The sequence below is a fragment of the Homo sapiens genome, chromosome 10 (genome assembly GCF_000001405.40).
Source record: "Homo sapiens chromosome 10, GRCh38.p14 Primary Assembly".
Lineage (NCBI taxonomy): Eukaryota > Metazoa > Chordata > Mammalia > Primates > Hominidae > Homo > Homo sapiens.
The window spans coordinates 6310670-6337836 of record NC_000010.11 but is presented as its reverse complement, the minus strand read 5'-3'; the positions used below and the strand labels follow the sequence as shown (position 1 = coordinate 6337836).

Sequence of the window (27167 nt, the reverse complement as noted above, 5' to 3'; positions counted from 1 at the left end):
TAAGTAGTAGCTCTGATTTAAACTCAGGACTATCTGACTTCAAACCCTGTGCTCTGTGTATTTTTCATGGATAATGAGCTGGCTTTATCTTCACTAAAATTCTTGCAAAGCCCATTTCCTTCTTCCCTGCATCCTCGGTGAGAAAGAAAACAACCACATCCTCTGAATGAATCTTATTTCTCAAGGCGGGGACGCATCCCTGAGGGCTGAGATTGCAGTGTAGGGAAAATATCCATTGCTATAAGAGTCAGGACAGGCTGGGCCATACCACAGTAAGAAACAACCTCAAAATCACATGACCCACAACAATAAACAGTTCACATTGGTGTGCATGGCAGGCCAGCTCAGCTTCCGCTCCACACCCGGAACTGAGTGGCAGCCTCTATCGGAAGCATTGCTGATCTTGAGACAGAAAGGAAACAGGAGATGGAGAAAACCCATCAAAAAATGGCTTCATTGGCCAAAGTAAGTCACAACTCACTAGAGTCCATTATAGAATTCTCTTTCCCTGTGGAAGAAGCAAACGATTCTAACCCAGCAGGAACACTCTCGCTCCTTATCTCACAAACCCACAGCACTGTGCTATTCCCAACAGAACACCATGAAAATTACTTTTTTTTTTTAATTTAAAAAGACATTTAATCTAAGAAGTTAGAACTCATATACCTTTCTTTGTTAAGGTATATGAAATGGAGGCCCTTTTAATAAACACAACCATATAAATAGAATAAAATTTTTCAAAATTTTCCGAAATTCAAATACAGAATTTTCTATGTATACATTGTATTTCCTGAGTAACAGGCATTAACTCAAAGATTAGAAATATTTTCAGGTCAGGTGCAGTGACTCCTGACTGTAATCCCAACACTTTGGGACGCCAAGGCAGGGGACCGCTTGAGCCAAGGGAGTTTGAGACCAGCCTGGCCAACATAAGGAGACCTTGTCTCTGCAAAAAAATTAGCCAGGCATGGTGGCACGTATCTATAGTCCTGGTTACTCGCTAGGCTTACATGTCAGGATCACCTCAGTCCAGGAGGTCGAGGCTGCACTCCAGCCTGAACAACAGACACTTCACCCTGTCTCAACAAAAAAAGAAAAGAAAAAGATAAAAAGGCTGGGTGTGGTGGCCTATAATCCTAACACTTTGTGAAGCCAAGGTGGATGGATCTCTTGAGCCCAGGAGTTCAAGACCAGCCTGGGTAACATGACAAAACCCCATCTTTACAAAAAATACAAAAACAAAAAAAAATAGCCTGGCTGCACCTGTGGTCTCAGCTCCTTGGGAGGCTGAAGCAAGAGGATTGCTTGAGCCCAGGAGGTAGAGACTGCAGTGAGCTGTGATTGCACCACTGCACTCCAGCCTGGGTGACAGAGTAAACCCATGAGAGAGAGAGGAGAGGAGAGGAGAGGAGAGGAGAGGAGAGGAGAGGAGAGGAGGAAAGAAAGAAAGAAAGAAAGAAGAGTGAAAGCAAGCAAGCAAGCAAGAAAGAAAGAAAGAAAGAAAGGAGAGAGGGAGGCAAAAAGGGAGGGAGGGGTATTTTCTCCACTGGATCTTGACCCTGAATCCTCACTCGAGCTCTCTGCCAGCATGTGGAGCGCTTTTCTGGCATTGCAGCTTGTTGTTCAGTCTCACTCTTTGGAGTGATTGGTTCAACAGGGCTGCCTCCGCCTGGCTCCTTAGCTGTTTGGTGATCACCCAGCATCTCCTCTACTCATCAGTACTGTCCCCTACAATGAGCTCCTGTTTGTCTGGGAACTTCATTCCATTTTCCTGTAATCTACTCTACTCTGCTTATTCAAATCTCCCATCATTTTCTCATGTGGACTGAGCTTAATTTAAACAGCTTCAGAAACTTTGAGTTTGCCAGCAACACTTTATTTTAGAGGCAAATTTTCCATATTTTATACCCTATTATGCACAATATGAGCAAGATCTGCAGAAATCCCCTAAGTAATTACTATTGCTACCATGACAGCAACAAGCCAGGCCACATCTGGACCGTGTGCAAAGTTTGCAAGTGCCGTGGAAGTGGCAGTTGCCAATTTCTGACAGGGGCATGAGTTTCCATTGAGTGTCCAATGCTCCTAGACCTGTCCATCATGCATGGGGGTGATTGCGATATCCCTTCCATCCAGTGCTCAGGTGGAATGGGCTTCCTCGGGACATAGGATACCTGCTCACCATGTTTGGTCATCAGTAGCTGGATATGAATCCCATCTTTGCCAGAGACTGGCTTGGGCAAATTATTTAACCACACCCTTTTTCAGTTTCAGCATCTATGAAAAAAAGGCACTAAAACTTATGGGCTGGGCGCGATGGCTCACGCCTGTAATCCCAGCACTTTGGGAGGCAGAGGTGGGCAGATCATGAGGTCAGGAGTTCGACACCAGCCTGGCCAATATGGTGAAACTCTGTCACTATTGAAAATACAAAAAAATTAGCCGAGCATAGTGGTGGGTGCCTGTAATCCCAGCTACTTGGGAGGCTGAGGCAGTAGAATCACTTGAAACTGGAAGGCAGAGGTTGAAGTGAGCCAAGATCGTGCCACTGCACTCCAGCCTGGGTGAAAGAGCGAAACTCTGTCAAAAAAAAAAAAAAAAAAACCAACACTTACTTCATAAGGTTGCTGTAAATATCAACATTTAAACAAGATTCTGGATAACTCCACTGGTAGACCACGTGACTTGTAACTGACCAATAAATGCAAATGACATGGGAGCAGAGTCTCTGTTTTGTTCCCTGCTAGGTCCCAGGAGAAGGGCAATACCTGGTCAGTATTTGTTGAGTGAAGATGTGAACAAGCTTGCGACCTAGGACCCAGGTGTTTAGCTGGTTGCTCGCTTTTCTTCCTGGTCAAATGGTTCCAGGGCAGGGGCTGTGTCTACCTGGCTTACCTCTGTATTCCCAGCACCTATTCCACTGCCTGGCACGGACAATGCTCTCAATAAATATTTGTCCAATAAATGAATTAACAAAGACAACATGCATAGCACATTTCCTTTCAGTAACAAGTACATGATGAATGTCAGCTGTATATCTGATAGGAGCTCCTGAGACCAAATGAGCCTACTTGAGACCTGATATTCCATAGATGTGAATATTACAGATTTCTTCATGTGCTGTGTCCTGTATCCTGCAGCAGCTGTAAGTGTCTTATTGGATACTCCTCCAGACTGATGCTCAGAGAGCATCTACAGCGGAACTGCCCAATATGGTAGCCACTGGCGACATGCGGCTATTTCAATTTACATTAACTAAAATTAAACAACATTTTAAAATTATGTTCCTCAGTTGCACTGGTCCCATTTCAAGTGCCAATAACCACATGTGGTTAGCAACTATCATTTCAGACAGTGCAAATATAGATACAAAATTCGCTACTACATAGAGATTCATTTTTATGGAAAAAGGGATACTACCATGGTGTCCTCTGATACTTCTTGAGCCTGTAAGCACCTATCCAAGGTGCTTCACAAACATCTCAAAATACATCTGGGAAGAAGAGGGGGAGGGTTAACCTTATGTATCAACTTGATTGGACCACAGATGCTCAGATATTTGGTCAAACATTATCCTGGGTGTCTCTGTGGGGGTGTTTCTGGGTGAGATTAACATTTGACTTGGTGGATTGAGTAAAACATCTAATCAATGTGGGTGGGCCGCATCTAATCAGTTGAGGGTCTGAAGAGAACAAAAAGGCTGAGTAAAGGAGAATCTGTTGTCCCTCACCTGTCTTCAAGCTGGGACACTTGTCTTCTTCTACCTTAGGACATGGACTCAGACTGAAATTATACCATCGGCTCTCCTGAGTCTCCAGCTCACTGATTGCAGATTTTGGGGTTTCTCAGTCTCCATGATCACAGGAGCCAATTCTTTATAATAAGCCTCTCTCTAGATATATCTTTTCACACAACACAAATATAGATGAAAAATTCTTTCTCTCTCTTTCTGTTTCTGTCTCTTTATATGTATTATATGGTTTGGCTGTGTCCCCACCCAAATCTCATCTTGAACTGTAGCTCCCACAATTCCCACATGTTGTGGGAGGGACACAGTGGGAGGTAATTGAATCACGGGGGCAAATCTTTCCCATGCGATTATCGTCATACTGTCACAAGATCTGATGGTTTTATAAAGGGGAGTTTCCCTGCACAAGCTCTCTTCTCTTGTCTGCCACCATGTGAGATGTGCCTTCCACCTTCCGCCATGATTGTGAGACCTCCCCAGCCATGTGGAACTGTGAGTCCATTAGGCCTCTTTCTTCTGTAAGTTCCCGGGTCTTGGGTATATCTTTATCAGCAGCATGAAAACGGACTAATACAATGTAGAATCTCTTACTGGTTCTCTTTTTCTGGAAAACTCTGACTCACACAAAGAGACCAGAAAATCTTCCTTCTGTACAGATGGCAAAGCTCTGATTGAAAGAAATAAGCCTTTTCTTGGGTCTGACCACAAGCAGAGTTTCTGGATTCCAGACTGGAATTCCCAGCTTGCCCGGAGCCCACAGCAGTGCAGAGGGACTGCCGTGCTCCATGAAGTTGCCAGCATCCCCCTCCACCCCAGCCCAAGGCAGCATGGACCAGTTGGGCTTTGATGCCTGTGGTTGCTTCCCTTAACCAGGCTCCAGGGATCTAACAGACGCCTGACCTCGCCACATGAAGTTCAAGGAAGGGAGCATCTGTCTTCCAAGGAGCTGCTGCATTCATGAGGCATTGTGCTCTCAAGTGGTCTGCCTCCTGGTAGGGGATTTTCAAGGACAAGGTCAGAGATTAATCTCCGCTGGCTTCATCTGCACCAGCCAAAATAGTCTTGATCATAATAACAACAAAAATGAAAAGAGCCAAATAACACGGGCAAGGACCAAACTTTCCATGCCTTAAGCCCAAAATCTGTTCAAGACCAAGGAATCAAACGAGGTCAAGAAAATTATTTTGTTCAGCTGAGGTGGCTCCACATGACTTTCTGCTTCACTTCTAAGCAGAGATGCACAGTAAATTGCTTGCCCACTCTTACCACGCTGGTTCTACATGATGCTAGCCTGCAGGTAAATAGGCTCAGCATGATACACCTGGCTTTGTCATTTACAATCTAGAATGAGTAACTCATCATCTTTGACCCTCGGGATCCTGATTTGTAAAAGAATTGTGAAAATATCTAACACATGCAATAACTGTAAAAATTGCAAACATTTCCGAGAGATCTTGCGTATGGGAGTTTCTCAACCTCAACATTATCGACATTTAGACGGGATAATAGTTTGTTGTCAGAGGCTGTCCTGTGCATTGTCGGATGTTTAGCAGCCTCCCTGGCCTCTACCCACTAGATGCCAGTAACACTCTCCCCAGCTGGGACAACCAAAAATGTCTCCCAACATTGCCAAATGTCCCCTGGGGGAGGGAGTTGCCCCTGGTGGAGAACCAGTGCTTATATATAAAGACATTTTGTAAAGTCAAAAAGCATTACCCAAATGTTCATAATTATTAACATGCAATAATTTTAAAGCAATCTCAGAGTTCCTTCCAAATATTGATTGGTTATATCATATTATTTGCAAGAGAACAGTGGCACTGAAAATGTAAAAGCCATTAGGATTCTCTACAAATGGTTAGTGATTGTTGCATTGCAGAATTGAAGCCCTGATCATTTGTGTTTCTTGGTTGTTTTGTTTTGTTTTGTTTTGAGATGCAGTCTCGCTCTGTCACCCAGGCTGGAGTGCAGTGGCTTGATCTCGGCTCACCACAACCACTGCCTCCCGGGCTCAAGCAATTCTCCTAACTCAGCCTCCTCAGTAGCTGGGGTTACAGGTGCACACCACCACACCTGGCTAATTTTTGTATTTTTAGTAGAGATGGGGTTTCACCATGTTGGCCACGCTGGTCTCGAACTCCTGACCTCAAGTGATCCACCCGCCTCAACTGCCCAAAGTGCTGGGATTACAGGCATTAGCCACTGCATCCAGCCAATCATTCGTGTTTCTAACAAAGCGAAAGCAAACATCAACCTTTGATAGAGAAGGCAGTCAAGTGATCCAGGCATCTGAGCAGCAGGGAAGAGCCAGCAACCACGTGTATCCCTCTCTCTTTCATCTTTGATTCTGTAAGCCACTGGGATGTGTTCCCATGAAGTACTGGGACATTTCTTCACCTTCATATTCTTAGCATCTGTCTTAATCAATGTAGGCTGCTATAACAAAATTATATTACATGGGGTGGCTTAAACAACAGACACTTACTTCTTACAGTACTGAGGCTGGGAAGCCCAAGATCGAGGTGCTGGCAGATCCCACACCTGGTGAGGACTCATCCCCATTTGCAGAAGGCCACCTTCTTGCCGTCCTCACATGGCGGAGAGGAGACAGAAAGAGATCATCTCTCCTGTGTCTCTTCTTGTAAGGGCTCTCTCTCACCCTGTCATGAGGCTCCATCCTCACGACCTCAGACCTGCCCGAGTCCCCACCTCCCAATACCATCACACTGAGGGTGTGACTTCAACATACAAATTTTGGGGGACACAAACATTCAGTCCCTACCAGCATCTGACGCCGTGCCTGACACATGAGAGGGGCTTCATATGTGAAGTTCGCGTTGAACAATAGTTCTCAACCGTGCTGGCGTACTGAAGTTACCTGTTTAAAAATTATCAGCTTATATGATCACACCACTGCACCCCACCCTGGGTGACAGAGACTCTCTCTCTCTCTCTCTCTCTCCCCCTCCCTCCCTCCCTCCCTCCCCCTCCCCCTCCCCCTCCCCCTCCCTCTCTCTCTCTCTCTCTCTCTCTCTCTCTGTAGATATATATAGCAGCCTCCCTGGCCTTTACCCATTTGATGCCCACTGTGGTCGTTCCCATTAACCAGGCTCCAGGGGTCCAACAGGCGCCTGACCTGTTCACACGAAGTTCAGGAAACAGAAGATCTTACATAGATATAAAATTATCAGCTTAAAAAAAGTCCTAATCCATCGACCCTATCCCGAGGGATTCTGCTCTGGGGCACAGTCTGGACATTTTAAGCTCCTCTAACGACTCTAACATGCGGTCAAGGTTGAGAACCACTGACATAGAAAGAACACCTCGGCCGGGCGCGGTGGCTCACGCCTGTTATCCCAGCACTTCGGGAGGCCGAGGCGGGCAGGTCACGAGGTCAGGAGATGGAGGCCATTCTGGCTAACACGGTGAAACTCCGTCTCTACTTAAAAAAAAAAAAAAAAAAAAAAAAAATTAGCCGGGCTTGGTGGCCGGCGCCTGTAGTCCCAGCTACTCCGGAGGCTGAGGCGGGAGAATGGCGCGAACCCGGGAGGCGGAGCTTGCAGTGAGCCGAGATCGCGCCACTGCCCTCCAGCCTGGGCGACAGAGCGAGACTCCGTCTCAAAAAAAAGAAAGAACACCTCAAAGCCTCCTGCTCTCCAGTGCACAGAGGGTCACGTTCCGCAGGGCTCCCGCCTGAGCAGCTGCTCCCTCCACCCGTGCTCCCGCCGCCCACGCTGCCCTCCAGCACGTCCCACCCATCATAGCAGGGTACGCGCAGCCTCCACACACACGTTCCTCCGGTCTGTTTTCAATTCTCCCAAGTGCATTTCTGCATCATTAACTTTCTCCCAAGAGTCAAAGGCCACTCACCCTCAAATCAAATGTAGGTTCCAGAACCTGGAGAAGTTCTGGAGCCTGTCTATAAAAAGTTAGGTGATTCAACCTGAGCAACATGATGAAACCCCATCGCTACAAAAAAATACAAAAATTAGCTGGGCGTGGTGGGCTCGCCTGTAGTCCCAGCTACTGGGAAGGCTGAACGGGGAGGATCCCTTGAGCCCAGGGGGTCCAGGCTGCCGTCAACAGTGATTGCACACCATTGCACTATAGCCTGGGTGACAGAGCGAGACCTTGTCTCAAAAAAAAAAAAAAAAAGAAGAAGAAGAAAAGATTAGGTGATGGGAAGGAAAAAGGAAGACTGAGGTGCTGGAAATGAGAGTGATAAAGGAGTCTCAACTCAAAGGTTTAGAAAAAGGCAAAATTATCCAATTAACTCACAAGGGTTTCAATAGTTGTTGCGCAGTGCTCAGGCCTGTTAATCCCAGCACTTTGGGAAGCTGAGGAGGGTGGATCTCTTGAGCCCAAAAGTTTGAGACCAACCTGCCAACATGGCAAAATCCCGTCTCTAAAAGAAATGTTTTTAAGAAATAGTTGTTAACAATGCCATGTGCAGCTCTGAAGAACACAGCTTTGGGAAAATGTCAGTAATATCACTGAAAGGGAATGTTGGGCTTCAAGAGCTTCTCGCATTCTGGAAGCACACCAGTGGTCAGCTTTCTTCTCCACCGGGTGGTAGAGATGTCTTTAACTCTCTGGAGGTTGGCGAGGGAGGAATCCCTTACATTGAGCTGGTGAGCAAGGCCATGCTCGAGCTGAAGCCTCTGGAGTCTTCAGACCTCACCAAAGTCGTGGTTTATGGCTACTATTTGTACAAGCTCCAGACCAAGTGGATGCTCCAGTCCGTGGCTGAGTGGCACCGCCAGCGCCAGGAGTGAGGGATGCTCAAACTTGCAGAGGCATGAATCCCCTCGAAGTAGGCCCTTGGATGAAGCCAACCAGCTTCCAGCCAATGCGATGAAGGCCAGGATGTAGAGATTACATTGTGCCCAGAGCTAGAGGGATTCCTCTAGTTTGGTTTAAACTCTGCTCCAGCCTGATAAGTTAAGGGAAAACCACCTGTTTAGGGGTCTCTGACCTTGCTCTGAGTCTTGCTGTAAATATCTCTTTCATGGTTGCCAGTAAAATAAAGTTAAAAAAAAAAAAAAGAAAGAAAATTGCAGAAGAGAAAGCAGAAGAAACCAGAGAGTTGAGCTCCCGAGTTTTGATTCCGTTGTGAGTCAATGTGCAGGAACCTGAGGAGCTGGGACACTGCTAATCTTAGACCTGGCTCAGTCCTACCCCGTGGGCAGCAGCTGTTGCAGGAACATGGACACAGGCTGGCACCAGCGTGTTTGGGTGCTGATTTGGGGCATATTTCTTTTCTAGTTGATTTGTCGTGGCATTAGGGAGCCCAGATGAGGACAACTATCAACTCTGAGGCCCTTAAAGAACAAGTTGGAAGTGAAACTGAGCTCTTCCTGGTTTCTTATTTGCTACTCTGGAGAAAAGAGGTGATTAATACTTATGCTATTGGGTCTTTGAATGCTCTCAGCACCTATAGGTTATTAACTGAGACTCTCAAACTTCAGATTATTTCACAATCAGTGGCTAATAACCTGAGCAGATGCATTCACTTATAATTTTTACATATGTACATGCAAGGCTTGCAACTATGAGTGCCCTCCAACAATGGAACAGATGCAAAATAGAAATCATGTTATCAGATGACGCCATAGTTGTCTCGCAATTGCTTTGCGGAAGGATTTTTCATGGGAATTTTTCCATCTCTTTATACTTTTCACACATAGGTTGTTGGCTTTAGCCAAGTGCGACGGAGAAGGACAGGCATGTGTGAAGAGGCCTGCCCAAATGTTACCCGGTGCGGAGGCCTTTGTTTAGCCCATTGGCAAGAGAAACACCAGCACCACATTCTTGGTGAAAAGCCTCTTTCACAGAGAGAGTGCATTCAAGGAGAAAATCAGCCTTGAATTGCCATTTCTGAGGCAGAGCTTGAAAGACAGATGGAAGGAGTAGGTTCCATGGGAAAGGAAAGGAGGAAAGAAAGGGGATGGCCTCACTTGCCAAAGTAAAGCTGGCTGTGGCTGAGAGCTCTTTCAAAACTGCCAGGAACCTTGGGAGCCGTACACTTCTCTCTCCCGGGAGGAGACCCAGGGCCAAGTGACACTGCGGTAACTGGAAATCCCTTCTCCAAGGCCAGAGCCCTGTGCAGAAAGCATGGGAAGACTTCAACAAAGCCCTCTCTTCTTCAGGGAAGTAACTGTGGAATCGGGAAAAGACAGAAAATTCCTGAGTAGAGGAGTTCTTAACTTAGACTCCATAGGCTAGTCTAGAGGGTCATGAATAAGCTCTAGGAGGTCTGTGCACAACCTGAATTTATGCAGAAGCTGAGTTTGGGTTCAGTTCAGAAGAAGGGTTCTATGCCCAATTGGTCATGTTTGGAGGACATGTTCATTTCCCAACCATTGTCCTGCCTGCATTTTCTATTCTTGACCAATGTAGATGTAGTTGGCCTCACCATGTTCCTTTTTGAGATACGTAATTTTTCTTGATGTTCTGAAGCACTGGTTGGTATATATTAAAAGTAGATGTTGTAAACGGACATATTTTCCAAATATCTTTTTGTTAAAATCCACATGAAACATTGTCTTTGGGCAATGGAATGGCCAAACCACCTTTTTGGACAGGACACGTTGTATTTGTGTTCTGGTCTAGGGAAGAGCAGAAAGGAGCAAATGCCCATGGGCTCCCTGTGGTGAGGCCGGATTAACCAGTGTCTCACAGGGCTGCGTTTTGTCTCACTTTGCTGTGCGTGTAGTGTATATGATCAGCAAACAAGTCCTAATTTTATAGCACCTACTCTTTCTATATGTTACAGAGGTTGCCAGCGTTTGACCAAAGTCCAGTTAGTAAGCAATTTTGTAAGTTTTGTGTTAAAATTCATAGGAAAGACTGTCTTCCAAAAATGACTTGTGGATATCGTGAACATCACCTCTAAGCATTGCACATGCGTAGATTTGCCCAGGGGGTTGATAGATGTGAGAAGGGGAAGGGTTCTAGGCCAGCATGTTCCTATGTAGAAGATGCTTTCAGGACACAGCCTTTGTTGCATGTGTGCAGTTAATGCGGATGAACTTCTTCCATCATCTCTGAATCATGTAGCGTAAGTATTTAGAAGTGCACATATATGTTAAAAGTAGATAATGTAAAATAATACACTTTCAATTTTTCTGCTAACTTACAGGTATGATTATCTTTTTAGAGTGGTGTTAAATTTGATCTCTTGGAGGAGAGGGGTGCAGAGGGAAGTTTAGACAATTTCAGCCTGTCTGACCATGGTTCTGTCTGTGTATTTTCATTAATTTTGGTGTCTAGTAAGGAATAAACAAGTCCTGAGTGCCCGAAGTGTGTTAAAAGCAGAGGTAGCAAAACAACCCCTTTATAAATGTGGGTTGTTTTATTACCTCTGCTTTTAACACACTTTAGGCATTTTTGTTTTGCCAGTTTATAGGAAGGACTGTCTTCTGGGAGCGACCTCTGTCAACCCACCTCTTGGATGGAGCCAGAAACGTTTTCACACTTCCTCGTCGGGGCAACGGAGCAGGGAGGAGAGTCACGGTGGAGCTCCTTACTGGTAACTCCATATCTAGAAGACAATTTGGGGTTATCAGCACAGTTCCAAATGTGCAGTTTTTAGTAAGTGCTTGTGTTTATTATAGACCACGTTCATTCTTTTCTATTTTTATTTTAAGTTCTGGGGTACATGTGCAGGATGTGCAGGTTTGCTACATAGGTAAACGTGTGCCATGGTGGTTTGCTGCTCCTATCAACCCGTCACGTAGGTATTAAACCCAGCATACATTAGGTCTTTTCCCTAATGCTTTACCACCACCACCACCCACACTCCCCTGACAGACCCCAGTGTGTGATGTTCCCCTCCCTGTGTCCACGGGTTCTCATTTTTCAGCTCCCACTTATGAGTGAGAACATGCAGTGTTTGGTTTTCTGCAGGCGTTAGTTTGCTGAGCATAAGGGCTTCTAGCTCCACCCATGTCCTTGCAAAGGTAGACCATGTTCATTCTTTATTTCACAACATCGTTGGTTTTTCAGATGTCTTGAGATGACAATGTATGATAAAAGGTAGAGCTAGTGAATTGGCCCATTTGTAAATGTTTTTATTATAATTAACACAAAAGAAGCCTCTTGAACGTGGTATTATGAAGCCACCTCTGAGCAGTGCACCCCAGGACTCATTAATTGGGTCAGCAACAGAGCGGCAGAAGGAGCATGAGGAAGGAACTATACAGACACATTGCTATTTCCATCTTGATGATAACCATTGATGTACGTGTGTATCTCTTTGGGGGTTACTATAAGAATACACTGCTAAATAACTCAGTGGACACATACCTTCTTGCTAACATTTTACTAGGACAGCTCTGATCATTCTCTTAGAAGGATTATATCCCATTGCTTTATACCCTATTTTAAATTGAGCATTAACGGAACACAGTATTTTAATTGTAACTCTGCCAACATCTTTATTCAGAGGACTGTTGCCATTTTTGTCTTTCAGGAAATTTTTGTCTCCATGAAAGGCAAAATTACATTTTTTTTCCTGATTGAAATGGTGTAGTGTATTCTTGGTTATCAAAATACTCTTGGCTTTGGGACTTTAAATTGATAAATATTCATTGTGTGTGAAAATATGATACATATTGTGTGATCTCAACAACATAACAATATGCATTCAATTATGTGTGTATACACACACAAGGACTTAGAAGAGCAAGGTCACATGTAATCTGCTTGTGATTACAGGTGACTTCTGAGTTCTGTCTTCCACGTGCTCTTCATTTTCAATAAGCACATGTTATTAACTTTGAAAGTTTGAGTGCTTACATTTTATTTTTAAAAATTGTATGCCAGGCTGGGCGCAGTGGTTCACACCTGTAATCTCAGCACTTTGGGAGGCCAAGGGAGACAGATTGCTTGGGTCCAGGAGTTTGAGACCAGCCTGGGCAACATAGCAAAATCCCGTCTTTACTAAAAATACAAAAAATTAGCAGTTGTGGTGGCCGGCGCCTGTAACCCCAGCTACTCGGGAGGCTGAGGTGGGAGAATCACCTGAGCCTGGGAGGCGAAGGCTATAGTGAGTCAAGATTGCACCACTGCACTCCAGCCTGGGTGTCAGAGGGAGATCCTGTTTCAATTTAAAAAAATTATATGCCAACACTTGTATGCATCTGTATATACCTATGTATGTATTTATGGGAAGAGGTAATAGCTTTATAAACAAAACTCGAAGAAGTTGTGAGCCCTAAGTTAAGATCCACTGCTCTACTTCCAATGCTCTCTTCTTTTTTTTTTTCCTTTAAATTGTGGTAAAATATATATAACATAAAATTTGGCATTTAACCATTTTTAAGTCTATAGTTCAGAGGCATTAAATACACATTAACAGCTGGGCGCAGTGGCTCATGCCTGTAACCCTAACACTTCTGGAGGCCGAGGTGGGTGGATCATTTGAGGTCGGGAGTTCGAGACCAGCCTGGCCAACATGGCAAAACCCCGTGTCCACTAAAAATACAAAAAGTATTAGCTGGTCGTGGTGGCGGGTGCCTGTAATCCCAGCTACTCAGGAGGCTGAGGCAGGCAAACCACCCAAACCCGGGAGGCAGAGGTTGCAGTGAGCCGAGATCACGCCACTGCACTCCAGCCTGAGCGACAGAGCAAGACACAGTCTCAAAACAAAACAAAACACATTAACTTTGTTGTGCAACCATCAACACCATCCATCTCCAAAACTCTTTTCCTGTTGTAAAACTGAAAGTCTATACCCACTACAGAATTTCACCGTAAGTATTAACCCCCTATTACTCCCCAGCTTGGCCCTGGTAACCACCATACTACCTTCTGTCTCTATGAATTTGACTACTCTGGGAATCTAATGTAAATAGAATCATATGGTGTCTGTCGTTTGTATCTAGCTTATTCCACTCAGCGTCATGTCATCAAGGTTCGTCCATGTTGTAGCATGTGTCAGAATTTCATTCTTAGTTAAAGCTGAATAATATTCCATTGTATGGGCAGACCACATTTTGTTTATCCCTTTGTCTATCCATGGACACTGGGTTGTTTCCACCTTTTGGCTATTATGAATAACACATCTATAAATGTGGGTGTACAAGTGCCTTGGGTTGTTTCTACCTTTTGGCTCTTGTGATTAATGCTGCTATGAACACTGGTGTTCATGTCCCTGCTCTCAATACTTTGGGGTATATGCCCAGAAGTAGAATGGCGGAATCACGCGGTAGTCCTCTGTTTCATTTTTAAGGAACCACCATCCCATTTTCCACAGAAGCTGCAGCATCTCACCTTCCTACCAGCAATGCACATGGGTTTCGATTTCTCTACATCTCGGCCAATACATGCTCTTTTCTGGTTTTTTGATAACAGTCATTGGCTTCGGTGTGAAGTGATACTGATGGTCTTTTCATCGTATTGGAGAGGCACGGAGTGAACAATTCTGACCTGAAATCCTCATCTCTCCAAGTGTGCCAGTTGAAGTAAATTTCTCAATCTGTATGTGAAAATTTTTTTCCTCTTCACTAAAGTAGAAAAGTTAAATTATTTATATAGTCAATACATGTGGAGTGCAAAACACAGAGCTAAGCGCTGCAGGGTAAGAAGTGAGAAAGGGGCATGAGGCTGGACAGGATATGAGAACCCTACTTTCAAAGGAGTTCAGAACCTGCCAAAGACACTAGCCTGTGAGCAGAGTGAGGTGAGGCATCCCTCTCTTTCTGCCTATGGACATTGAAACTCTTCCTTCTCGAGGCTTCGGCCTCAGATGGGAGTTACAACATCAGCTTTCCTGGTTCCCAGACTTTTGTACTTGAACTGAATGTCACCACTGGCTTTGCTGATTCTCCAGTTTGCAGACAACAGATCTTTAGACTTCTCGGCCTCCATAATTGCATAAACCAATTCCCATAGTAAATCTCTGATATATCTATGGATATAGATACAGATATATCCAATGGGTTCTGCTTCTCTGGAGAACTCTAATACCTGAGCATATCCTGTGTGAGGCTTCGAAGGCCTCCGAGGTCATGATGAATGATCCACAGAGGGATTCACATTCACTCATCTGTTTCACTCAACAGGCACCTGTTAAGTACTGACAATGTAACAGATGGTCTTAGGTCCTGGGGATGCAACAGTGAACCTGACTCACCAGGGTCTGTCCCCATGGAACTTACATTCTAATGGCAAAGACTGACAATAAACAAGTAAATAAAATAACTAGGATTATGAGAGGTTTCATTCAATGGGAAAAAAGAGTCACGACAGAGAATAATGAGTCAGACACACATTAGAGGAGGTGGACAGCAAGGCATCTTTCAGACGACACTCAAGCTGAGTTTCAAGAGATGAGAAATTTCTGCTGTGAGAAGAGACCAAAGAAGACTAATCCAGGTGAAAGGAAAGTCCATTAAAGACCTTGAGGTTCAAAGAGTTCAACATATTCTAAGATCTGAAAAGGACATCAGTGTTACTGGAGCATCACGAGCAAGGGAGGATGGGAGCCAGTGTGGCTAATGAGGGAGGTAAGGGAAGATTGCACTGGAATTTGAGGCATGGTGGGAAGCCATTGACAAGTTTTAAGCAAGGAAGTGAGATAATGTGATTGACATTGTTCAAAGATCATTCAGGCTACTGGGTGAAGTGTGGACTACAGTGGTCAAGAGTGGCCACAGGGAAGCCATTTAGGACTCTATTATCATGAGCCAGGTGAGATGATGATGGACTGTCCTGGGGATGGTGACAGAGGTGAAAAGTGGTAGATGGATTTGAGATATGGCTCTTTTGAAGGTGGAATCCATGGAGGTCGCCGAATGCCGAATGTGTAAAGGAAAAAGACTGGTGAGGAAAATGGAGACATTGAGGGTCTGGGGCTGTAGTAAGGGGGTAGACGGTGACAAGGTCGAGCTACAGAAACAGAGAACACTGGAAGAGAAATTTTAGATGAAGCAGAAAGGGAGATTTGAAATTCACATGGGATATGTTCCGTTTGAGTCGCCTGTGAGTCAGCAACTGAATATGTCAACAGACAATTTACCAGACTAACACCCAGGGGAAAGCGCTGGATTAAAGAGAGACATTTAGAAGTCACAGTTACATGGATGGTGTTTCATGGAAATGAATAGAGGTGGAAAGAGCAGAACGAATGGGAGAGAAGAAAAGAGGTCTTGAGCGGAAGCCCTGGGAATGTCTGTTTAGAAACCAGGAAGTGGAGGCGGAATCGGCAAAGGAGAAGGAGCAGCCAGTAATGAGGCCATCTTGGATGCTAGGATGCCTACAGGGTTGCACTGCAGAATTTCTACATAGAGTTGAGCCATCAGTCAGGTTTGCAATTCATTGTGAAGCCAGTTAGTGTGAGCTTCTCAAACAGTATTCAGCAGTTCAGTCCAATCACAAAGAAAGTAGATCATTGGGTTCAACCAGGGTTGGGTGAGTGAGTGATTTTTGCTGGGTGAGTGCAAAGGAGAGTAGGAAGTTAGCAAGAAGGAGGGAAGGTAGTAGCCAGGACACAGGGCATTTAAAATCAAGATTCCAAAAGAGATGCAGTTTCTGCTGATGACAAGACACAGAATAAGATGATGAGGGTCAATGGCTGGGGTTTAGGGAAGGAAAGGATCACACTGGAGGGGGAAGTTTAAAAAGTAAACAAAGGAAAAAACTGAGAAGCAGAATGTTGGGTCACATATTTCTTTTTTGTTTGATTGTTTACTGAATTAGAATGAAATTAGAAGAAAGGATACAAAGAAAAACTGAGAACTTAAAAAAACAACAGAGAATGGGCATGACAAGGAACTTACTAGGTGACGAGGACACAGCTGAGGGAGGAATAAAGGCATCAGTTTCAAAGGAGCATGGGGTTTTGCAAAACAAAAAGTTTCGGAATCAGCAGTTGGGAGGAGAGAGGACACACACCCTACTTCTACTTCCTGGGAAATGAGAAGAAGGAAAATATTTGTCCCACAGAGACCACCAGGCCCAGAGGGAAGGCTTTGAGAAGATGGATAAAGGTCAACTTTACATTTAAATTGTACAGAATGACTTCTGTTCTATTCCTCCCTTATGAGTTGGAGAACTGATGTCCACTGCAGGGTAAAAAGGCATCCTATTTCCATGGACAGTGGTTGGTTCAGAAATGGACACAGAACCCAACGCTCACCATTTAGAACTGGGCAGAAATTCACTGGAGGCCTTCAGCAAGGTGATTTCCCACTCTGAAGGCCATGGAAAGCCAGCCTCTCTCCTGTCAGGCACAAATGAGGGAACATGTGGCTCTGAGAGCTACTGGCAGCTGTTCCAGAACTGTGATGAGAGCCAGTTTTAGGTTAAAGTCAACACTGCAACAGGCAGGGTGAAGAACACAGACAGAAGCTGCTGCTTCTGGCCAGGCGTGGTGGTTCAGGCCTGCAATTGCAGCACTTTGGGCAACTGAGGCAGGAGGATCCCTTAAGCCCAGGAGTTCAAGACCAGCCTGGGCAACATAGGGAGACCTCGTCGCTACTGAAAAAATGTAAAAATTAGCCAGGCATGATGGTGTGCACCTGTGGTCTCAGCTCAATTGATCTCAGGAAGCTGAGCAGTGAGTCGTGACCGTGCCACTGCCCTTTCACCTGGGTAACAGAGATCCTGTCTCAAAAAAAAAAAAGAAGAAGAAGAAGCTGTTTCTTCATGACATCCATGAGCCACTGCTGCTACCTTGAAGGTCAGCCCAACCTCTGGATTTTCTCCTTTATAAGCTCATACATTTCTTCATTTTTCCATTTTTTTAAAACCAGGTTGAGCCAAAAGCATCCAAGGAATGACTTTGAGATTCCTGAGAACTACAGCTTCATATTCCTCATTTATCCACTGTAGGCTGTGTCTCTTAGAAGATGCATTCTTCATTAATTTTATTTTATGTTATTTTGAGACAGGGTCTCACTCTGTCACCCAGGCTGGAGTGCAGTGACATGATCACAGCTCACTGTAGCCTCAACCTCTTGGGCTCAAGCAATCCTCCCACCTCAGTCTCCCAAGTAGCTGAGACCACAGGTGCATGCCACCACCCCAGCTAATTTTTTGTATTTTTTCGGTGGAGACAGGGTTTTACCATGTTGCCCAGGCTGGTCTCCAACTCTTGGGCTCAAGTGATCCTCCTGCCTCAGCCTCCCAAAGTGCTAGGATTACAGACATGTGCCACTGCGCCTGGCCAGGTTCATTTATGTTTATTGACCTGACCAAGAATGGTCCCTTTAACAAGATGTTTTGTTGTTTATTTCTTGAAGGGAAATAAAACCAAATTAATTGGTAGAAATACAGAAAGATAATAGAATGTATCAGGAAGAAAGAGAATGTATCAAGGGAGTTAATTTTTTAGGACTCATTAGAACAAGAATTTTTGTCCATTTTTTAATTTTTATAGACTTAGGGGATTTTTTTTTTTACAATTTTACAATTTTTTACAATTTTTAAATAATTTTTACAATTATTTTTACAGTTTTGTTACGTGTTACATGGATATTTGACATAGTGGTGAAGTCTGGGCTGTTAGGGTAACCATCACCCAAATGGTGAATATTGCACCCAATAGATAATTTCTCATCCCTCACCCTCCTCCCACCTTTCCAAGTCTCCAATGTCTATTATTTTACTTTCTATGTCCATGTGTGCACATTAGTTAGCTCCCACTTATAAATAAGAATGTGTGGCATTTGACTTTCTGTTTCTGAGTTGTTGCACTTCAGATGATGTCCTCCAGCTCCATCCATGTTGCTGCAAAAGACATGATCCTTTTTCATGGCTGAGTACTATTCCACTGTGTATATGTACCAAATATTCTTTAACCAGTCATCCACTGATGGACACTTAGTTTAATTTCTTATCTTTGCTATTGTGAATAGTGCCACAATGAACATAGGAGTGCAGGTATCTCTTTTATAGAGTGGTTCCTTTTCTTTTGGGTGGATACTGCATAGCAGGATTGGTGATCAAATGGTAGTCCTATTTTTAGTTCATTTTGTTTACTGCTGAATCTCTAGCATCTAGAACAGATAAGGCACTTTTAGAATATTTATCAAAGTCTTCCTCCCGAGAATATTGATCAAGGGTCCACAAAGTATCAGACACTGTGCTAGCCTCCGTGTTAGGGTATGGGAAAATGTGAGTCTCAAATGGGAAAAAGCCAGGCTTCGGACCAGACCCCAGGGTGACCGTGGAACCCATGGAAGCAGCCTGGAAATTCTGACTTGGCCTCCAGACCTTCGCAAGTCCCACTCATGTTTCAGCAGGACACATCCTCATTTCACCGCAGAGACGGAGCTGGTCCCGTGGCCAGAGTTCACCACCCCGAGGACTGATTGCCTCCTGGGAATAATGTTTTTCCCCTTTACACAAAGTGTCAGAGGCCTCCCACACGATTCCCTTTAGGCCCTTGATCTGTGAGGCTCCTGGGATTTTTCCACAGTGGAGCAAATAACATCAGTCACGAGAAAGCTGCAGCAGACAAATCTTCGTGGTCAGGCAAAAGCGCAAAATGAGCATCTCTGTTGCAAGTCAAAACAGGGCAATGGATATTGGCAGAGGTGGGGCCAGCCTCGGGCGTGCAGGCAGAGGCTGGAGCACAGCTCCGGGAATGGACAGGATCCCCTCTACCCCCTGGGGAAGAAGGAGAGCTCACCTCTCAACTTTCCATCCATATCTGAGTTTCCGAGGGATAAAATCATCAGCCAATCAGGTTGTCCTTAGAATGCAAGGCCGTCATGGGGCTTCTACCAACAGAAGGAAGCTGGTGGTGTATGCTCCAATCTCCCCACTCCGATGGTTGTCCTCATCACGGAGGAGCCAGTTACAGTGATCCAAGATGCATCTGCTCCCAGGGGCAGCTTGAGAAGGAGCAGGTGGCCCTATGGGTGCATGGATGGGCAAGGGGTCCTCCCCACAGGAGGAGCCCTGCACCCATGCCTTCCCAGAAAGAGGAGTGCACTGCAAATCCAAAAGACACAGCCCTGCTAACAGTAGCTATTTCCCGGGAACTGAATTTAGGGTGGAGGGGGCATGGTGTCATGAAAAGGAACTTTCGCTTTTCAGGTTATGTATGTATAGTTTTCTGAACTGGTATCACAACCACATGCTGCTTCTGTGTAACACTGATTTGGTCAAAAAGCCCTGTTCCTCCTGAGAATCACCAAATTGCTTCCCAAAGATGCTATATCCTTCACACCAAACTTAAATCACTGGCTACTGAGAATACGCAGTCTTTGCGCACAATTGCGTCTTCTGTCTGCCCCTCCCGCAGGTCCCAGACACAATTTCTTCATGGCTTCTTCAGCCTTTCCACCCTCAGCCTCTGTCTCCAAATTGTAACCCATTTTACATGACCACACAGGGACACATCATCATTCTTTATGGAAGAAGGTGAGATAGAAACAAATAATGAGGTGTTGATTGATTGAATTTCCTGAATCCTAGACCTTAGGATCTTGAAATGCCCCTTTTCCTGCTACGATAGCCCATCCAATGCCTTCCGCTCCACCGGCTCCTCTGAGAGCTCAAACTCATGAATAACTCTCTACAAATGCATACTCTTTCTTCATGAACATGATGATTTTCTGGACTTCCTGCTCCCTCCTTTGCCCTGATTGAGTTGGACAATCTAGGAAGAAACCTGAAAATTGCCTACACCCTTTTCAGTCATCATTTAGCCTAAGATGCCAGCTTTTCTCTATTCCAATGTCAGCTCTCCTGCTTCTCAGGGACCCAAAGATCCCAGGAGAATTTATCTTCTCTTTATGAAGGTTCATTACCAAAGTCAATGAGGAAGGATAATTGAGAGAGAATGCCTGCCACCCAGGGAGATGCATCACTGCACTGCCTCTCATGGTTGTCCTGCCCAGATTGCAACCATTGCCCCTTGCTAGAGTTATAACTCTTGACAGTATCAAGAGCACGTCCCCCATGGGAGTATGAAGTGCAGGTGGAGAGTCAAATCCCAGGGCTCTTCAGGTGGGGTCCATGGGCTTCAAGGCATCCATGAATACCTTGAACTTGTATTCAGGATTTAGGGCTTCCATGTATGGTTGTTTTTTTCTGGGCAAATGAGCCAGAATTTTAGTTAGATTCTCCATACAGTCTGTGTGCCAGTTGAGTTCTTCCTGGAGAAGACTGCAGCAGTGTTTGGAGTACAAAAAGTGGACTGGGGAGTCATACTTGCAAAATGCAATTGGGCAGGGGGAGGGTCACACCATGATGCAGACCTGGCCAAGAGTCTTCCAGCCTAGCAGGGAGTTCCAGAGCAAAGGTAGACTGTACCTCATATGCAGAAGGCTGGAAGAAGATGCCACTCCCACTCTATAGTAAGAAAAAGCTTGGCCAGGTACAGTGGCTCATGCCTGTAATCCTAGCACTTTGGGAGTCACTTGAGGTCAGTAGTTCAAGACCAGCCTGGCCAACATGGCGAAACCCGGACTCTACTGAAAATACAAAAACTAGCCAGGTGTGGTGGTGCATGCCTGTAATCCCAGCTACTCAGGAGGTTGAGGCACAGGATCCCTTGAACCTGGGAGGCAGAGGTTGCAGTGAGCCAAGATCACACCACTGCACTCCAGCCTGGATGACAAAGCAAGACTCTGTCAAAAAAAGAAAAGGAAAGAAAAGAAAAAGCTTGAATGTATATTTAAATTATAACTTTTCCTGAACCCAGGATGTCCTGTGTTGGGCAGAAACAGAAAGGCTCTTGTGCCATTGCCTTTTGAAGTCATTGATCTTTGGTGGTCATCCTGGTGAAAGCATGCCTTCAGCTACCTCCACGTGGCTCTGACATTGGTCGAGGTGCCCCTGAGAAGAGTGTGACCTCAGCTCAACAGCCCAGGCAGATCGGGAAGGAGCTCCTAGAGGTTTTCAGCCAACCACACTCTTCACAGCTGGGCAGTGAGTCCTTTCTTGAAGGAGGATCCAAGGTGGGTGTCTACGTCTATCACAGTCCACCTCATGAACCTCACAAATCCACGTCTCCATACACATACACCACCTTACAGAAAGAATACTCAGTTTTAATCTCTTCCTTTTTCTGTATTCCACTATAAGCCATGCTATTATGCCCACATTTTCAGGAAAAGTCTCTTATATATAAATGGATTTGTAGTAATGGTTCTTTTTGGAATGAAAGAGAAAGAAACTATTCTGGATTCCATTCTTAAAGGATCAAATATATCAAATATACTGTCATCAACAGGAAAACAGCCTGACATTATGAGCCACATGGTATAATACAGTATGTATTATGTAGTATCACCTATTGTCCCAAAAGCCTTTCTTCTGAATCTAATCAGAAAATACTAGGGACAGGGACAGGCGTGGTGGTTCACGCCTATAATCCCAACACTTTGGGAGCCCAAGGCAGGAGGATCACCTGAGGTCAGGAGTTCGAGACCAGCCTGGTCAACATGGTGAAACTCTGTCTCTACTTAAAATACAGAAAAATTAGCCAGCCATGGCGGTGCATGTCTATAATCTCAGCTACTCAGGAGGCTGAGGCAGAAGAATGGCTTGAACCCAGGAGGCGGAGGCTGCAGTGAGCCTAGATCGCACCATTGCACTCCAGCCTGGACAACAGAGACCCCATCTCAAAAAAAGGAAAAGAAAAAAAGAAAATACTCGGGGACAGAGGAACAAATTAAGTGACACCTCCAAGAATAATCATGCAGCTCTAGAATGTGGGACATTCTATAAGGCAACTGGCCTTTACGTTCTTAATAAACTTGCTTTCGCTTTACAGACTCGTCCTGAATTCCTTCTTGCACAAGATCCAAGAACCCTCTCTTGGGGTCTGGATCTGGACCTTTTTCTGTAACAGTTTCATGCGCACTCTGGGATGGCATTCACCGCTGGGCAGCCCCTCTCCCTCCCCTGTTTGTTTAAGGAGCCTGACTGGATTCAGGCAGTTCGTGCCAAGTCCCTAGAAATGAGCCAGGGTTAAAGTCAACCAGTCAGGGCAGTTTCATTCCTTTTCACTGCTGTTTGGCCTAGGGGTGGGCAGGTGGGCTGGGTCTGGTGAATGCCACTTAGAGAGTCAGCTGGTAGCCTCTAGGGAGGCTTTTCCTCCTTAACCACAGAGTGAGCAATGTGAGGGAGAGTCCCTGCAGGGCTTCTGGCCATGCTTCCTGCCTGGACTCTGCTATTCAAGGCCATGCCCCTTTGAGCTGTGGCATCAGTCATTTCCTGGGACGGATAAAAATGCAGAGTGGAGAGAAGAGACGTCCTGGGGTAGGACCCAGCCCAGGAGATCCCTAGTTCCACATCAGCTTCTCATGATGGGTTCGTCACAAACTCCGCTGAGCCCTTCCCGTCAGGCTGTCTAGAAGGGGCAGCTCGTTAGTTCCTACCCTTCGACCCGGCCATTCCCCTTCCAGACACTTATCTTAAGGAAACTGTTCAGCATTTGCTCAGTGAATGATTCATGATTGTAAACAGCACAGGTATGGTTCTTAACAGTAAAAGCCAGTTTAAAACCAACTTAAATGTCCAATAATAGAGTGGGGGGTTGAAGAAGTCATCATATAATGGCACAGAGCAATATTAGCTGCTAAACGTAATACTGTAAAGAGCACATAGGACTATGGAAAGATGCCATGATACGTTATTAGGAGAAAATTACATCACAAAACAGAATGTGTATTATGGTTCCTTTTGATAGATCACACACATATGCACAGACACAGACAGAGACAAAGAAAAGATCTCTACCTAAATCCTAATGGCAATTATCTGTGGGTGATGGGATTATGGGCATTTTGAAAAACTTTCTTTCTGCCTATTTCCATTTTCTGATTTTTCTGCAATGAACATGTGCCTCTTTCCTGGTATTTTCCATAGACCCTAGAATCGTGCTGGACCACAGTAGGTATTCAATTAAACCAAAGTTAATGGAATGAGTAAAAAGAGGAAATCATTTTGGCCTTTTTGCTTCTAGATTATTCCCACATATAGAATGGTTTGGGGAGTGGGAATACTCTATTCATAGGCAATGTAAATTCATCCTAAGCTTTACTTCTCAGGAAACAGTGACTGCCCTTGCTTTGATGTCAAGGGACGCTGCACAGTTTCTAGAAGTCTGGATTTCGCGTCCCATTCCTCTGTATCCTCACCCATACCTGTCCCCTGCCTGCCTCCTCTGCCCACCACCTTGGCGCTAGGGTGAGTGTTGAGGTGTGCGAGGCAGCGGCAGGGGGAGCACCTGTGGAGAGGGTGTTAGCCGCTGAGCTGACAAAACAGAAAAAACTTAGCGTAAAGAACAGTCTCCAAGCCAAGCCTAATTTAATAGCTATTGAGAGCCACATCATTCTTCTTTCATTCCAAGAGTGATGATTTAGCACCCATTATGTGCCAGGGATTAGGCTGGGAACTGGAGACACTGAGATGAATGAGCTGTGATCTCTGCTCTCCATTAGCTCATCATCTAGAGGCAGAAAGAGACTAACAAATCATGAAACCGCAGCACAGCCAATGCAAGGATAAACTAATGCACAAAGGCAAGAAGGGAAATTAAAACCGATCATTTAGGCGAGATGGAATCGGAAGAGTCTGGCAGAGGAGGGGCTGTGAACTGAGTCTCAAAGTGGGAGCAGGAACTTACAAGGGGAAAAGCATCATGCTTGAAGGAACAGCAGCTCGGCAGGAGACAACCGGTCACACTGAGCAACCAGCACCCAGCGTGTTCGGCACCTGGGGCAGGTCGTTTTTAACACCATCTCCCTCCATAAACTACTGATAGTGATAATTATGAAATTAAATGAATGATAGTAACAGCCAGAGTAAAACTGCTGATTGTAGCATTTTCCTTTTATCAAACTTTGTGTGTCTCATGTCTAATCAGACAGTTACAAAAATTAGCAGTAAATGGCAATAAAATCAAAGCATTTGCAAAAGGTAAAAGGTAGGCAGCTATGAAATCATGTCACGGACATTTAATTTCTTGATTTGTCCTTTTGTTTTCAAACAAGCAATAATTAAAAAGCAGTTTCACGTTAAAGCTATCATCACATTTAGTAAGAGATTTCTCATGCGAGCTAAAACTTGCTCTTGCCAAACAAAAGTATTCTACCCCCCAGTTCATACAGTTTCACCAGTTTAAATTTTAAACACTGATTTAGAAATTCCAGGTGGTCACAGGGGATGGCAAAGCGAAATAACTCAAGTTCTGTTTCTTTTCCAGTCACTGATAATCATTGCTTATTTGATTCCACTGTTTAAACAGAAGAGTATGCAGCTCTCACTATGTGCAAAGTCAGCTAGAAGGATTCTGAACTATTAACGGCTTGCTCTTGAAACCAGGGCGTATAGCTAAGTTGACATGTGTTGGAAGTTGACTGTGAGCAGTCGGCCGGTCTCCAAATTTACTTCCATATAGAAAACAATATTTACAAACAAATGACTAATAAAAATCTGCTAATGTGAAACCTTAACATATCATTAAAACTCGGCCAGCACCCCAGCAGTTGTTTAGAACGCATACCAACCAGAGATCTTTTTTCTGGAAGGTGTGTTTAGTAGCTGACATTGTTTAGAATTGCCAGCACATGGCAAAAGTAGATTTTAGCCTATTTTATGATTGTTTTTAAATTTCTCTATGGGCAGTGTCCCTGTTATTGCCTGCACCCCAGGCAGATGGCTCACACGGCCCCATTCTTGGCACACCGCTGACAGTAGGTATTTCATTAGAGCTGAAACTTCAGATAAGATTGGAGCCGAGATGGAGAGACAGTGGTGAGAGATGAGGACAGGTAGAAAGAGCCCAGGCAAAAACAAATTGGAAAAAAATGTATATTTTATTCTTCCAAGATACAAATTATCCTGGTAGATAGAAAAGGAGCTTTCAATCCTACCTCTGTGTTCTTTACCGAAAAGTTCAGCCAAGCTTTCCAGCCCTCCACACAGAAGCCTGTCCGCCTAATCAGGACCCCTCCAAGAGATGACGACAGACAGCCAAGACAATCCCGGAGGCCAGAGCTAAGCACAGCCCCGCTTGCCACCCCTGAGATCAACCCCCAGAGCTTTCCTGTAACCTGCTACTTGGCTACTTTGTCATTTTCCCTTCATCATTTGGCACTTATTCCTGCCCCCGATTCTTATGAACAAGGCCCTCTTTAAATGTAGTCTGTGCCTCTACTTGCAGAAACGTGTGATTCTTGGAGCTATTTCAGGGACCTGGTTTGACATTGCAGCCTTTATACCTTATAGGGACAGATGAAGAGGAATGCAGTGTTCCCAGCTCAGGGAATGCCTGACTTCGACACTTTCAGGCAACTCCAGTGGTATTACTACTGCACACCATTGTGGGTTTGCCTTTACAAAGCATTTTCTTTTTTTCTTTTTTCTTTTTTTTTGAGACGGAGTCTAGTTCTGTCACCCACGCTGACGTGCAGTGGTGCAATCTTGGCTCACTGCAACCTCCGCCTCCCGGGTTCAAGTGATCCTCCTGCCTCAGTCTTCCGAATAGCTGGGATTACAGGCGCCCGCCACCACACTCGGCTAATTTTTGTATTTTTAGTATAGACGGGGTTTCACCATGTTGGCCAGGCTGGTCTCGAGCTCCTGACCTCAAGTGATTCGCCTGCCCCAGCTTCCCAGAGTGCTGGGCCCAGAGAGCCACTGGGCCCAGCCAACAAAGCATTTCTTGACTATAATTTGTAGTGGCTTGCTGGTAGGTCTTCCGTAGGGAACCTGAGAGGTTCTGCCAGAAAAGGAGGAATTAGGGAGAGCAAAAGGCCACAGGTGGCAGGAACAGAACTACCTGGGATCAGAGGAGTGCTTTTGGTGATTTTCCATGGCGGCCCATGCAGGGAGATAGGGGAGCATGGGAAATTGGAAATCAATACAGGAAATCACATTCCTGTATTGATAATGTCATTTTCCTATCTGAGAAAGGGCTGTGAATGTCTCTTTTCTGTCAAGGGCAGGATGAAAAGCAGTCGTGATATGACTGGAGAGGCTGTGAAACCACAAAGCGTGCGCTTCAGTTCTGTCTCTGTTCATTCCCATTAGTGAAGAGTGAGGCAGAAAACTTAGCTTTTTTTGAATCTTAATTTCAACATCTGTTTCTAAGAAGATGAAATTCCATGGGTTTTTTTTCTCTTTTAACTTCAGTTTATTAATCTGCAAAACATTGACCTGCTACCTCACAGCATTCTTCACATATGATAAGAAACAGCATGTTAAAATACTAAACAAAGTTTAAGAAATGATGCAGATATACTATTAGGGTAGATTGTAGATTATAGTTCTATCACTTATCTCTTTCTTATTTTCTGAGAAGCTCTTATGAACATCGATTTAATTATTTCTTTTCCCTCTTTATTTACGAGCATACATGTCTTATTCAAGATTTAAAATATCACTTGGAAATTAACAAGGCGTTTCACAAATATAGTAGTATTCCTTATTTGTTCACGATATTTTGTCCCAA

General features: G+C 44.7%; 1 protein-coding gene, 1 long non-coding RNA gene and 1 pseudogene across 2 annotated transcripts in view, besides 2 other annotated features; 1 reads left to right on the top strand and 2 right to left on the bottom strand.

Moving 5' to 3' along the window:
- Nucleotides 1–1854: 1854 nt before the first annotated feature.
- Nucleotides 1855–11293, bottom strand: LINC02649 (long intergenic non-protein coding RNA 2649). Its single transcript, NR_040079.2, has 6 exons — nt 11195–11293; nt 8027–9905; nt 6821–6884; nt 6531–6626; nt 6234–6336; nt 1855–2580 (listed from the first exon to the last, which is right to left on the bottom strand). It is a non-coding gene; the product is annotated as a long intergenic non-protein coding RNA 2649 (long non-coding RNA).
- Nucleotides 8360–8778, top strand: DPPA5P3 (developmental pluripotency associated 5 pseudogene 3; annotated as a pseudogene).
- PFKFB3 (6-phosphofructo-2-kinase/fructose-2,6-biphosphatase 3) overlaps nt 11200–27167 on the bottom strand; it is a 181717-nt gene continuing 165749 nt past the window's right edge. Inside the window, exon 15 of the mRNA XM_047425341.1 lies at nt 11200–11291. Within this exon, the coding sequence (XP_047281297.1) occupies nt 11274–11291 (18 nt within the window). The 3' untranslated portion in view covers nt 11200–11273. The remainder of the gene's footprint in view (nt 11292–27167) is intronic.
- Nucleotides 22451–22951: an enhancer, noted in NCBI's record as "H3K27ac hESC enhancer chr10:6356849-6357349 (GRCh37/hg19 assembly coordinates)". NCBI's record gives its function as "activates a minimal SCP1, AML or CMV promoter by ChIP-STARR-seq in primed H9 embryonic stem cells {active_cell/tissue: H9 hESC(primed)}" and the evidence as "EXISTENCE:reporter gene assay evidence [ECO:0000049][PMID:30033119]".
- Nucleotides 22952–23452: an enhancer, noted in NCBI's record as "H3K27ac hESC enhancer chr10:6356348-6356848 (GRCh37/hg19 assembly coordinates)". NCBI's record gives its function as "activates a minimal SCP1, AML or CMV promoter by ChIP-STARR-seq in primed H9 embryonic stem cells {active_cell/tissue: H9 hESC(primed)}" and the evidence as "EXISTENCE:reporter gene assay evidence [ECO:0000049][PMID:30033119]".